The 15,152-nt window shown below is 40.6% G+C and overlaps 1 long non-coding RNA gene and 1 other non-coding gene across 3 annotated transcripts in view; one reads left to right on the top strand and one right to left on the bottom strand.

The window, feature by feature from the left end:
• The window catches only part of LOC124904184 (uncharacterized), a 72,878-nt gene that overhangs the window by 53,699 nt on the left and 4,027 nt on the right, over window positions 1-15,152 (top strand). Inside the window, exon 3 of one of the 2 annotated variants that reach the window (XR_007066101.1) lies at window positions 8,480-8,988. The exons of the other annotated variant lie outside the window; for it this stretch is intronic. This is a non-coding gene — a long non-coding RNA (uncharacterized LOC124904184). Of the gene's footprint in view, window positions 1-8,479; window positions 8,989-15,152 lie in introns of those variants that run through there. 2 annotated transcript variants of the gene reach the window in all.
• TRK-CTT7-1 (tRNA-Lys (anticodon CTT) 7-1) lies at window positions 3,006-3,078 on the bottom strand. The gene has a single exon. It is a non-coding gene; the product is annotated as a tRNA-Lys (tRNA).

A 15,152-nucleotide genomic window follows, 5' to 3' on the forward strand; every position in this document is an offset into this window, starting at 1 on the left:
TGCTTTTATATTCTGATTGTTTATTAGGGGCTTATTTCAAAAAGTTGACTTTTTATTGAAGTTGTATATGGTAAACTTGCTAACTTCATCTACAGATGCTTTTGGATTTGCTAGGTAGACAATCATGTGCAAATAATCACAGTCCTATTTCTTCCTGTTTTTATTTATTTTCCTTACCTTATTGCACTAGCGACCATCTCCAATAAAATGTAATACAATCAATGCCAGTGGACATCCTTGTCTCTTTCCTCATCTCAGTGGGAAAACTTTCAATATTTCACTATTAATTAAAATATTTGCTTACAGACATTTAAAATGTTTGCTTAAAAGTAGGTACCTTTTATCAGATTAAATATTTCCTCTTATTCTAGACTGCTAATTCTTAAAAAAATAATAAATCGGCGTTGAATTTTATCAAATGCTTTTCCTCCATCTGGTAAAATAATCTTATAGATTTTTCTACTTTTTCTGTTAATGAGATAATCATCAGTGCTTTCATCAGTGGTGCTCAACTGATGTTAATTTTTCTCTCTAGGGGACATTTGGCAATTTCTGGAGACATTTTTTATTAACTCAGCTGGGTGTGTGTGTGTGTGTGTGTGTGATTGGTATTTAGTGCATAGAAGCCAGGGGTGTTGTTAAACCTTCTACAATGCACAGAAAATGCCCTCCACAACAAAGAATGATCCAATAGTGAAGCAGGAAAATAGGTCTGGAGCCAGGGAACATAAGTCTGATTCACACTTCAGCTATGACAGGAAATATCCTCTCCATAGGGTGTATGCCAAGTAAATAACTTTGTAACTTTACTTCCTCCTCTTCATTTACATAGGGCATAAACCAAGTAACCAGTGAGATCCTCTCGAGGGTATTTAAACTGCCCAAAATTCTGTAATGGGGCCCCTGAGCCCCTATGCTCAGGCCCACTGCCACACTGTGGAGTAAACTTTCATTTTCAGTAAATTTCTTCATTCTTTCCTTGCTTTGTTTGTGTGTTTTGTCCAATTCTTTGTTCAAGATGCCAAGAACCTGGCCACCCTTCACCGGGAACATATTTTGGTGAGCCTGCCAGGAGAAATTCCAGGAGAAGTTAGGCCCAAAGTTTGGGATTTATTTTTCTCCTTTTCCCTTTTCTTTCTGCTCCATACAGGGGAATCTGTCTCTGTCTCTCTCTTTTCCTTTCCAACTCAAGACCCTTGGTGGACAATGCCTAAACACAGAAGCAACTGCAGGTTTCTGGCCATGGTTGGTGAAACTAAGGGGTTCCCATATGGAGGTGCCTAACCGCCACCACCCTGTTCGCTTAAGGGACCAGGGTTGTTTTTTTTTCTTCCCCCTTTCTTTTTCAGTCTTTCAGCCACTATTTCCTAGTAGCTCTTTGGAAATTGAGGGCAATTGGCTGGGGTCATTCCCTGGTATTGCCTGAAGGCCAAGGAGTGAATGGGAATAATTGCCCTAACTGGAAGGGGAAAGGACTCTTTTTTAAAAAAATATTTTCTGCTTGTGGTCCCTGGTCCCTACATGTGATCCAGTGCAGAGCAAACTCACACGTTTCAGGTGACTTAAACCATTTTTTTATGCTAAATTCTTTCCTTCCCCTATTCAACTGGCTAAGGGCAAAAGAAGCCTACCCAGCCTCCAGTTCCTATCATTAAAGTTCATGGAATGGGAAACATGGGAAAGCGTGGCCTTAACAAATTATAAGGATGCTAAAAGTCGGAGATTACACCCAGGTACCGAGAGAAAGCTCATAGTAGGCTCTGGAGGGAAAGCATGCAAAGTGGCACCTGTGCCCACCTAAGGTCAGAGACTTGTAATACTCTAAGATTGGACCCCACAGGAGGACGGATGCTCCAGGGGATCCTACAGACCTCAACCTCCCTGAAGGGGATGCTCTTGGCAGAGGTTCTGAGGTCTAGTAATAAGCCCTCCTTTTAATTTTCTCTCACAGTTGCAATGCTGTTTGGACCCAACATTGTTTGGAATCTGGAGTTTACCGTTGAATGAGAAAGTGGAATGGCATTGCATGTATCCAGGCTTTTGTGCTGCTGTTCTAAGAAGGGAGCCTGGTTAATGTGTGACACTCTCCTTTGGTGCTGTTTGGAGCCCCAGCACTCTTTGGAGTCTGGGGAAATTCGGCCTTTAAAAATCAAATTGCCATGGAGACTGCCTTACGTGAAATTTTGGTTCACAGCCTTCATTGGATTATCTATTGGTGCAAACAAAGTAAAAACAACGAGCTTGTATTACTGTCTCATGGCTAAGGTTCCAAGCTATTGGATCTTTGTTTGTGTGTGTATCTACATGTCTTTGTATTGCTGTGAGAAATGGGAAAGTTCTTCTTCAAAGATTATAAAAAGTCATAATTTCTTCTTATAACACTGTTAACCACTATTAGTGTGTACATATGTGTGTGTGTATATATATACACATATATATATTTGATATATATACATATATATTTGATATATATATACACATATATATTTGATATATATACACATATATATTTGATATATATATGTGTGTATATATATACACATATATATATTTGATATATATATGTATATATATATATATATTCCAAATCAGCTGTCCTAGCTTGCTCCGGCATACCTGGACAGAACTAGGCAAGCCCCAGCCCATAGTGCATGCCATTCCTTATTTGGAGATTCTTCCTTAACTATCCCTAGATAACTTCCTTTTCTTTCTTTGTTCTGTTCCCCTTACCTAATTAAGAAAGTTTTAAGCTAATAGCCACAATCGGGTAAAGTGTAAAGTGTGAGGTCCTATTCCAGCCAGTGGAAACTGGACACAGCAGTAGGGTAAATGCATCAGATTATAAATAACTCTGTCTCCTTTGTTCGGTGTTCTCTTGTGGCTGGACAGCTACTGAGTAGCACCCTTTCTGCAGAAAGTAAAGCTCACCTTGCTGAGAGATCATTTGTTCCTGCATTAATTCTTTTTTTTTTGTGACACCGAAATCTTAATTCACAACAATTTGGCACCAAACGTGGGGCTCAAACCCATGACCCTGAGATTAAGAGTCTCATGCTCTACCGACTGAGCTAGCTGGGCTTTTGCAACACCAAAAACTTCATTCCCAACATTGCTATCTCATGGCTAAGGTTCCAAGCTATTGGATCTTTGTTTGTGTGTGGGTATATACATGTCTTTTGTACTGCTATCTCATGGCTAAGGTTCCAAGCTATTGGATCTTCATTTGTGTGTGTATACATGTCTATATGTGTTTATTTGTATGTACACTTATTGTTCCATGTTGTGTCTACCAAATTGGCTTATAAGTAAAAGAGGGCTTATAAATTAAGTAAATAAGCCTAAGCAATTTTCAAGTTCACATGACTTAAGTGCAACTTTACTAAGCAAGCTAGCTTTAAAATTATTGGAATAAAAGTAAAAATGCCTTCAGAACTGTCAGCATACATTTTGTCTGAATTTTATGTTTGTCTTTGCTAGATATTTTGAGATGTCCGTGTTTGGCGTGGAAGGTTATAAAACTATAAACCCAGCCAAAACAAAATAATCTTGGTTTGTGTGCTTTCTTTTGACAAATGTGAGTAATTTATAAAAGGAAAATATCTTGGGACCCCCAAAATTACTAGGCTGAAGGGAAGATTTAGAGTGGGAGCTGCTTGAGCCTGCCTCCCATTCTATTCAAAGTCTCACTAAGATAAATGCATATCTAACTGCCTCCTTTGGAAAGGCTAATCAGAAACTCAAAAGAATACAACCATTTATCTCACACCTACCTGTGACCTGGAAGCCCCAAGTCCCCTCTCCCGCTTTGAGTTTTCCTGCCTTTCCAGACAGAACCAATGTTCATTTTACATATGTTAATTAATGTCTCATGCCTCCCTTGTTAAAAGTGAAAGAATTGAGTACTGAATGGGATAAATGTTTTAGGTAAACCTTTTGCATAAATTAAAATCTTAAAGTTATTTTTCATGCTCATTTAATATCTGGGTCATTTCCAATTATGAAAGTGTTGTGATATGGGGAAATATGTTTCTAAAATTGTGGAATTATTCTTATCTATAAATGCCCATATCTAATAGTTCAGGATTTCTTGCTTTTTAGGGTTTCACTAAAATTTTAGCATAAGAATCCTAGTTAACACATAATTCTGTGTACAAAATGTGCCCAAAAGGGTTATTAGTGAGAAAAAGAATAATTTTGTCTAATTCAGAAGTTATCCAAAAGTTAGTTCAAATTACAGATTTGAAAAGGTTATTTATGAAACAATGTAGTAAGGAACCATTAAGTAGTAGGGGAGAAAAATGTGGAAAAAGTTTAGATAATAAAATATTCTTTAAAACCTGATAAAGAATTGGAGACATTTGGCTAATTAACATTTTTGTAGTTAAAGCTCTTAGTCTTGATTAAAATAAAATAAGAAGTATTGGAAGTATTGTAGAAAATGCATCGGCAGTTTGGCAGTTCTTTTTTTTTTTTTTTTAATGTAGTTAAGCATGAAGCCAGATTTAGTGTGGAGCCAAATTTCACATACACACTTGCATTGCTTCACACCATGTTTACTGTTTGTGTAGATAGTGCCGGCACTGGAGTACTTATTGGTCACGTGCCTAAAGTGAATTTCTTAATTGCACAGGATGTATGATGTGGGTTTTTTTTTTTTTTTTGGTGGGGGAGCTCTGTATAACACTATAGCTTCCACAGTAAATTAAGTAGAAAAGATTTAGGGTTGTTTTCCTGTTTATTAATTTTTGCATCTAGTTTTCATTTGTTTGCTGTTTATTCTCTGCTAGATTTTGTTTATGTATGCATATATATAAAACCATGATGTTTTTTAGCCTGGCATGGTGGCTCATGCCTGTAATCCCAGCACTTTGGGAGGCTGAGGTGGATGGATCATGAGGTCAGGAGTTCAAAACCAGCCTGGCCAAGATGATGAAACCCCGTCTCTACTAAAAATACAAAAATTAGCTGGGCATGGTGGCAGGAGCCTGTAATCCCAGCTACTTGGGAGGCTGAGGCAGAGAACAGCTTGAAGCCAGGAGGCAGAGGTTGCAGTGAGCCAAGATCGTGCCACTGCACTCCAGCCAGGGTGACAAAGCAAGACTCCATCTCAAGAAACAAAACAAAACAAAACAAAACAAACCATGATTTTTTTAGTTTTTAGTGGAAGGCTCTTATTTCATTCTGTGAATAGTTGTTTTTGTTTCCTATGCATTTCTAGCAAGTCATCCTTTGTTTCATCTATCTGGAATTCCTAAGCTACCTTTGTCAGGTCCGCAGGAATTAATGGAGCACACTAGCCTTTTAACCTTAAACTAACTTTTTAGATTTTAGGGTTCTTGATACGTTAAGTGTGTTGAGTATACTCTCACAAATAGAATTTAAGACATATTTCTCTCTCTTTGCCTAATTTCTCCAAAATTTATAAACTATTTGTGAATATTCTTAATTCATGGCAATGTGTTTTTTTGCATCCAGTCAAGCAGGGTCTCCAGGGCTACTCAGGGAGAGAGAGCCCAGAAACCTGGCATGCCAGCAAAAGGGTAAGAATTTCTTACCAGTCAGTCTCTGGTCTCTTTCTCTCTGTGCAAACTGGTTAAATGAAAGGTAAAAGCCACTGTTTATTTCCTCTACAAGGTTTTAAATTAATTGGTTTAATAATAATAAGAGCTTAAATAAAATATTTTGTCAGAAAAGTAAAAAGTGCAATGCCTTTTATTTAATTCATGTGACGTGAGTAATTCTTGGGAAATAAAGATGATTTTAATGATTATTAGTAGAATACAAATGTCTTCAAAATGTAAATATGTGGTCCAAATTATGTTCAAATATTAGGTTTGCTATATGCTTTAAGGTCATAAGCTGCTTCTTTGGCTTTTGAAAATTGTTTAACTCGCCTCCTTTACTGCTAGGTAAGGCCTGGGGACATGTGGAGTTGGCCACACCCCTAGCTATGCTGGAAATAATCAGACCTTATTAGCACCTAGCACATAATTAACATAACTTACTAGATTTTACATTAAAATTAAAATTGCTAAGAGCCAGCATTATAACATGCAATTAAGACTGCTAGAAACAGTTTTACATGCAAGGTGTGTAAGGACAGTAAAATGTGTGGGGTTTTTTTGTCAAAGGTTATAAAAGGTTTTTCCTTCTTTAAAATTTCTGAGTCATCATTTTGGCCAAATAAATAATTTAGTTTCAAAATTGTCTTTCTAATGCCTGGCTTTTTAGATGGATCAGAGGCCCCTGAAAACATCCAGAAAAGAGGTAAACAGGGTTATTTAACATGTTTAAGTACACAGGGTTGCCAGAATGATGTCCAGTCTTCTTTAAGTTACATTTTTGTAAATAATACTAATATATGTTCCAAAATTGTATGAGATTTCTAAAATTCTAACATCTAAGTGTATTCTATCAATCAATTATAATTATGGTTATTATGTTAAGTTATAGTAAACCACAGAAATAACCAAATTTCCTTTTATAAAGCTACTAACCCAAGTAGAAAAAAAAGTAATTAAATACCAAGAAAATACTTTGTCAGATTTTCATGTTAAACCAGCTGATACTGAAATTGTTTAGATATACAGTTTGAATAAACTTCACGGTCTAAGTCGAATTACCTATGATAATCCATCAGTTATCAGTGCTGTGATTTAGAAAAACAACTGGCACTCAAGAGGATATTAGTCTAATGTTAATTAAGCATGGCCTTCTGGAGAACCAGGATAATCACCTTGTCCTCCCTGAGTCCTTAAAGATTTTATTATTAAAAGTTTTGCGTTCCATGACTCATCATGGAAAAGATAAAATAATCCAAATTAAATACATTGGTGTGGTAACTTACAAATTACAAAAATAGTTTATAACCAATGTTTAGTCCCATATTCCTGGGAAAACAGTTAAAGCATCGGGTACACTTGGTAACCTGATGGGCCATTTAAACATCTTATAAAGGAATTTCATTCAATTGTTATTATCAATGCATATTTTCTGGTTGATAAAAGCTTTCCCATGCAAGAGGGCTGATGTTATAACAGCAGATCATTATGCTACAGTGTGTTTTCACTGGGTAAAGAAAGCTTTTTATGGTTTGAATCTTTTGGGAAGATCAGAGAAAGAACTGTTGTTGCCATCCACACTACAACAGAACTTCGGGACCTTGAACTTTGGGTTCATAATCTCACAACTGAGAAGGGTATCTCCATATTCTTGGAACTGTGTACCCATTGGAACCCTTGAGATTTCTCCCCAGAGGAGGATGGCATCCTTGATGTAAATAGCTTTTCCCAAGTTCACAGATTAAGACTTCTACTATCATGAAACTCTCATCTATGAGTATTTCCCTTGCTTATGCCTCTCTGAACAATAGAATTAGAAAAGAGGTCTGTTGTGTGACCTTATGGGGTGTACTTTTATTTGTGAAGGAGTTTGCAGCCAGGCTTATACAAGAATAAACTTATACTTTGATAGATAAAAGATGAAGGCCCAAAGTAGGTGAGAAACTTTAGTGGTACATATGTTGCCTCATAATCAGTCAGAAACAAAACATTGGTTCATTCCTCTTAACCCACATCATGGGTTAAAGAGAACATTGCCAGGAGGCCTTCATTCTTCTAGAAGGGCATCATTTGTTAGGTCCTTTTTCCATGGTTTAAAGTAAAAGAAGCAATGATTAAAAATGTATCCCTCATGATAGGCTCTATAGCAAATTCTACTGTAAAGGACACAAACTAAATTCTCTTGTGAAAGTTACGATAGAATTGGCTGAACAGAGATGTATCTGTGCAGCTGCTGGCACTCATGGCCTATGGAGAAAACATCTGGTATTATAGAAATTCAGTTGTAGTGGATTAACAACGAAACTGCTTCTTTAAGTCAACCTTTGATCTATTTGGTTTTAGGAGGTTTGGTTTATGGGTACCTTGGGTAAGAAGCATACTCTGAATTCTTGGTATTATCCTCCCAATAGTAATAATAATAGTCTCCCTGGTGTGCTGTATTCTCTCAAAGGTTTTAAATGCTTGCATGCAGCCATCTCTAGAATGTCATATGGTCTCTCTTCAACTGGAATGACAAAAGCTGAGAGAAATGTACAACCGTGAAGACACCACAACCCATGAATGACGGGCTGAGACTGGAAACCAAAAATGATAGTAACTGAGAGTGGTGCTAAGGCCCTAAGTTTTGGTCACACTCTTACCTAAGTGAGAACCTGACCAAAAAGGGGGAATATTTTAAACAAAATTCTGGGAGGCTATTGTTTTGGACTAAGCTCATGCACTAAGCCCCAACAGACCAAACCAAACAAAAATGGAGTCACTTGTGCTAAGACTTTAAGGAAACACAGATTCTAGAACAGACCAGGTTTTGTTTTTTCTCCTGCAAATCTCTATAGCAAACATTCTTGACAACAGAGGTATCCACCCCCTGAAGTTCCCATTAAATCTTTTAGCCAAATTCATTTCTTCTCTCCTAGAGACCACCAAGTTTTAGATGATCATGCAACAAAGCTTCCAGCCAGTTCCAGGTGAAGACACCACCCCTGACCATCAAGAAGCTACCCCGCCTCCACTAGACAGAGCAGGGAGAGAGTTCCGTCATCCTTAATAGGTAGAGACTATGCCGCAAGCCAGCATGAAGCAGTTACAGAAAAAAGACGATTGGTCCCTCTGCCTCCCATGAAGATTTATGGGGATCACATCTCTTACAGAGGAAATGAGGCAGGAAAATAGGGTCTGGAGGCAGGGAATATAAGGCAGATTCACGCTTCAGCTATGACAGGAAATATCCTCTCCATAGGGCAGATGCAGAGTAAATGACTATGTAACTTTACTTCACCCTCTTCATTTACACAGGGCATACACCAGCTAACCAGTGGAATCCTCTAGAGGGTATTTAAACTCCCAAAAATTCTGTAACAGGGCCCCGGTCCCACATTGTGGAGTGTACTTTCATTGTCAATAAAATTTCTTCATTCTTTCTTCACTTTGTTTGTGTGTTTTGTCCAATTCTTTGTTCAAGATGCCAAGGACCTGGACAGCCTCCACCGGTAACAATAGTGCTGAGGTTGACAAACCCTGATTTCTGTTGCTTAATATTTTTCTTTTTTGAGACAGGGTCTCACTGTGTTGCCCAGGCTGGAGTGTAGTGGCATAATCATGGCTCACTGCAGCCTCAGTCTCCTGGGCTCAGGTGATGCTCTCGCTTCAGCCTCCCAAGTAGCTGGGACTACAGACACATGCCACCACACCCAGCTAATTTTTGTATCTTTTGTAGAAACGGTCTCTCCATGTTGCCCAGGCTGGTCTCGAACTCCTGGCTCAAGCAATTTGCCTACGTTGGCCTCCCAAAGTACTGATATTATAGGCCTGAGCCACCACACCCACCCCATGTTGCTTGATCAACCTTGCACTTTGGAAATAAAACCAACTTGGTTGTAATGTAATATTCTTTTTATGTATGTATTACTACATCTAATTTTCTTTTTTTTGTTTGTTTTGAGACGAAGTCTTGCTCTTGTCACCCAGGCTGGAGTGCAATGGCATACTATATCTAATTTTCTAATATTTTGTTTAGGATTTGTATCTATGTTCATGAAAGAAATTATCCTATATTTTTCCTCTCATGTAATGTCCTTGTCAGGTTTTGGTATTAATGTTGATTTGGTCCCATAAAATGAATTGGAAAGTGTTCCTTCTTTTTCAATTCTCTGAAAGTGTTTGTGTAAGATAGATGTGTTCTCTGACTTCCTTTGTGATCAGACCTGCCTCTGCTCACCTCTTCAACCCCATAAGCCATTGATGGGCTTCATCTGAGCCTGAGACATTTACTGAACCCAGTTATAGCACTAAGCAAAATTACTGTTCCTTAAAGGCCAGAACTCACCTGACCTTACTGGACCCCTGCAAACCTGGGGACAGGTAGAAAGTCTCGCTTTGCCCTCAAGTCTAAGTTTTATGATCTACCTCAGACTTTAATCATTTTGGCAGTTATTAGGCACTGACCCAAATGCTAATAAAGTAGGCTACCAATTCCCATTCAGCCATTGTTCCTGGTCTATAGCTGCCTTGGGCAGGAAACCTATGACAAGAATAGGGCAGGATCAAGACACTCTTGGGACCCCTGCCATAACACTATCATAGCAGCTCTGAAATCTTACCTTTTACCACTGTTATCTACTGTGTCTTCTATTGCTAACTAAACTTTTAACTCCTTTGCAGGAGTGGAAAACCTTTTCCATACCTTGACTGTCAAGACAGCTGGGTGGGTACAGGAGGGGAGAACATAGGTTTTTGCATTGGACAGACCTGGTTTAAATTTTAGTTGTGCCACTATTAGTAGGGTTACCTGAAACAAGATATTTAGCTTTTCTAGTGGAGCCTCTGTTTACTCATCTGTGAAGTGGAACTAATAATGTCCACTTCAGTGGTGTGTTTAAGAAAAAAGGGATTTGGCTGGGTGCAGTGGCTCAAGCCTGTAATCCCTGCACTTTGGGAGGCCAGGGTGGGTCAATCACCTGAGGTCAGGAGTTCGAGACAAACCTGGTCAACATGGTGAAACCCCATCTCTACTAAAATTACTAAAATTACAAAAATTAGCCAGGTGTGGTGGCGGGCAGCTTGTAATCCCAGCTACTCGGGAGGCTGAGGCAAGAGAATTGCTTGAACCTGGGAGGTGGATGTTGCAGTGAGCCGAGATCCTGCCACTGTACTCCAGCCTGGGGAACAAGAGCGAAACTCGGTCTCAAAAAAAAGAAAAAAGGGATTCATTAAGGGGTTTAGATGGTGCACAGCCTCAGAGGGCTGAAGACACAGACACTAGGCTGAGCTTCTAGAAACAGCTCTCAACACCAGCAGAGAGCTGGCCCACCCAGGGAACTGCTGCTTCTATCCTAATCAGCAAGACTGCCCTTGACAACGAGGAAGCAGTGCTGGACCCATGCCCACAAAATGTCTTCATCCTTCCGGTTTCTTCACTAGACTCAAAATCCTATTCATGTGCAACTGACTGGAGAAACCAAAATTTCATTTGTGATGCTAGCAGCAAGCAAGTCTGGAAAACATGGTTTTTTGCTTTCCAGCCTTTGCATGCTGGGAAGGAGTTGGAAATGGGGATGAGCAAGCCTATTCACTGTACCCACTACAGTTGGCTATCCTATTTTCATACTTGTTTCCTTCCATGGCTGTTTCGGGCATCTGTGTTCTCTGGCCCAGCTAATGAATCATTATTCTTGGTCAGTTATGACAACCCTCTTCCTCTTGCAGCTAGGTGTAGTCAGGTGACTCAGTTCTGACCAATGAGAGTAAGGAGAAGTCTGCTGTGGGGCTGTGGGTAGAGGCTTCTGTGAAGGCTTTTGCTTTTCAATAAAAGGGACAGCTGTAGATTGATGCCAGTTCTTCCCCTTTCGTTCTGCCTCGAATGTCTGGAGCTGTAGCAGCCATCGTGTCAGCGTGAGGATGAAAGGCCAAAGAAAAGGCTGGCAAGAACAGAAGTACGGAAGATCATAAGCTCTTGTTGGCAACGTTGAGCTGCTGAGCTAACTGGAATAAATGCCTCCCTCTAGACTTCTTGAGAAAAATACATTCATATTGATTTAAACGACTGCTAGTTGAGTTATCTGTTGTAGCTGAAAGTATTCCTGACTGATAGATTCTTCTTCCTCTTAGCAAGGATGCGACTGGACTGCTGATGAAGTGGTCAATCTACAAGATTAGATAATTCACAAATAGACTTTTAAGTCTTCCATATCCCCTCTTGAAGCTGAAATTTCCATAAGAACAAACAACGCTGCCTTTCTCTGGGGCAGAGGGGAGCTTTCTAGGAGTCTAAGAAGAGGGGCTGGTGGTGTGAGCAGGAGATACCTGTGACCCTCCATCTTCAGAGCCCAATCAGGGGGTCAGTGGAGAATGGGGGATCTCTGAGAGCACGGCTGAGAATTAGAGGAAACGTTCGAACAGTCAGCGGCATGGTGACCAGCCCTGAGGTCATGACGGCCATGCCTGACCAGAGAGGAGGTGCTGCTGGGCAAGTGGATGAGAGACAGAAAAAGTAGAGAACAGAGTTGGTCCCTGGGACCAGGAGAACAGTGTTGGGGAAATGACACCCAAATGAGGCGACTCAGGGAGAAACGAGTTTTCCAAGTGATGGCCTCAAGCACTGCTGTGTTCGATGCCCATCTTCTGGTCTGCAAAGTGTGGGAGACAGAGGATTGAGGTTGGCTGTAAGAACCAGGGATCAAATGGACAATGTGTAATTTAAAAATGTTTACCCTCTCTGCTTGCTGTGAGCCTCCACCCATTTCTCGCTGATCCACACAGCCAGTGAGCGCTGGGTTCCCACTCTGCATGAAGGGCCGCACCAGGTACTGGTGATGGTGCAGGGAGAACATTCCCGTCTCTGAGGAACCCAGGCTAGTCATGGAGAAATAGGAAGGTAAACTGACACTTTTGGGGAGTGCTCAAAAAAGGGGTGCTCATCTGATTTGGGAACACCTCCTCAGGAAAGGGATGGCTTGGCAGCAGTGGGAAGGATGAGTGGGCAAGGGACATGGCAGTGGAAGGAAGACCTTTTGTACCGGCTCGGGGGCAGGAGAACCTGAGGTTCCCACTTGATCACAGCTGGAGTGCGGGGTTCAGGGGAAGAGATGGAGAATCTGGAAAGGCACTGCAGCCTGATTAAGTGGGAAAGAGGCTGTGGAGTCAGACCTCTGACTCATCTCCGTGGCCTTGGGCATGTCACTTAACCCCTCGGAGCCTGTTTCTTCTTCTATGATATAGGCACAATGGTTCTTTCCTCTTGGAAAAAGTTTAATTGGGATAACAAATAACCAGGAATTGTTAATTAGGAAAATGATTATAAAATAACTATCATATTTTCTGACACATGATAGGGATTCAAGAACAATTTAATCCATTCCAAAGAGGCATCTTCCCCCTAAATTTGAATATTTCTGATACCGAGGTTCATTGTTAAGGCCTAATTGGCAGCATCCTTTCTTTCTTGGTGGCACACGAACTAATGGTGTCATGCAATTGATGCCATCTTACTTTCAATAAAATATGGCAGTTCTTTGGAGTATCTACAATAAAGATCAGAAAACTTTTCTGTAGAAGTTCAGATAGTAAATATTTTAGGCTTTGTGGGCCGTATGGTCTCTGTTGTAATGACTCAAATTTGCTCTCGTAATGTTAAGGAAGCCATAGACAATACGGAAATCTTAAATGAGTGTGGCTGTGTTCAATAAAGCTATTTTTGGACACTGGCTTTTGAATTTCACATAATTTTTTTTTTTTTTTGAGATGAAGACTCACACTGTCGCCTGGGCTGATGTGCGGTGGGGCAATCTCGGCTCGCTGCAGCCTCCATCTCCTGGGTTCAAGTGATTCTTCTGCCTCAGCCTCCCGAGTGGCTGGGACTACAGGCGCATGCCACCACACCCGGCTAATTTTTGTATTTTTAGTAGAGACGAAGTTTCACTATGTTGGCCAGGTTGGTCTCGAACTCCTGACCTCGTGATCTGCCCACCTCGGCCTCCCAAAGTGCTGGGATTACAGGTGTGAGCCACCGTGCCTGGCCGAATTTCACATAATTTTTATATGTCATAAAATATTATTATTTTTATTTTTTTTTGTCGATGATTCAAAAATATAAAAACTATTCTTAGTTCACAGGCTATACAAAAACAGCCTGGATTTGGCCCACTTTGCCTGGACCATAATAATGTCTATTGGGAGATAGCCAAGAATTGCTTTTCATCGATGTGTGTGCTTTATGCTTCTATGACTACCTGGACAGTTTCCAGAACACTTTCAAGCCTTACTAGGAATGATTTGTAATGGCGTTTGGGGGTATCAGAGGCAATTTGAATCTAGAAACTCAGCTTGGGTAGACTGGAATCAGGGACTTTTCCTGGAGGAGCTGATTCATGAACTGAGTTTTGCAGGATGAATTCCATGTGTGTGGTGCAGCGAAGAAACACAAGCAAAAATGTGGAGCAACTCTGTCCACATGTGGAGTCAGGCATGGCTAGAGAATAGGTGCTAAGGACAAGGGGCCGATGCAGAGTGATGGGCTCAGAGCATGCTAGGCTTTGGAAGCCAGGCAAAGACGTTGATTCCAAGGCAGGAGCTCTTCACTTGAGGACCATAGATTGGGCTTTAGACAGTCTACACGTCTCTTGTAATTTATGCAAAATCTGTGGAATGCCCATTTTTCTAGGAATAAAGTCTATGCCTTTTATCAAATTCTCAAAGGGGCAATGTAATCGCCACTAAGAAAATAAGATGACGGCACTAAAATGAGTGAGGAGTCCTTCGCGATAGACATCATCAATCTAGATGGCTGGCTGCCTTGGTCAGTTTCCCGCATCTCTAGAAAGGCCCTGATATGCAGGGATGGGCCCCCATTGTCATTTCTTTGCTACATGACTCCGCTGCCTGGCCACAGTTTATTGGTCCAGGGGTGGGCACCTCATTCAAGTGATTGTCCCCAGAATTTTTAAGACCTAGAACAAAAGGTGGTAGCTGGTATTGGAGGTGACAGCTAGATGAAGATAAGGAATATGCAGCTTGGGGGTGATAAGTGGCTAACGTTGCCCATCCCATAGCAGAAACTGGTATGAATTAGGAGAGAGTGAAACCAATATACCAGGAAAAGTAAAAACACAAAACTTCAGGTGAGAATTCTGATGGTATTGAGTCAAGGTACCCTGGCTTTCATCCCTGCCCTTTTCATGGTGACGTGAGGTAGTCCTATGTCCCAATATTAAATCGGTTCTTGCCTAACTTTAATCAGATTTGGTTTCTGGCAAATTAAAGAATCCTAAGCAAAGCAGGTGGCGCGATCAGGTAGCTGCCATGAGGGGAATGAACTGGAGTGAGGAGGCCAGGGACCAGAGGGAAATTATTGCAGTGGTCTTGGGGGGAGATGAGAGGCCTGGAACAGAGATGGCTGTCTTGGTATGGACAGCCAATGAATGGATAGAAAACATATTTCCAGAGCAAAATCAGCAGACATGGTTATTGATTAGATATGGAGCCTGAAAGACAGGAAGGAGCAAGGGTGGGTGCTGGAACCACAAGAGGGTGATCAGGTTATGCCATATGAGGCTGGAAATCCAGGATAATGGGTTTGAGGTTTAGGAGGAGGCT

This window comes from Homo sapiens, chromosome 1 (genome assembly GCF_000001405.40).
Source record: "Homo sapiens chromosome 1, GRCh38.p14 Primary Assembly".
NCBI classification, from domain to species: domain Eukaryota; kingdom Metazoa; phylum Chordata; class Mammalia; order Primates; family Hominidae; genus Homo; species Homo sapiens.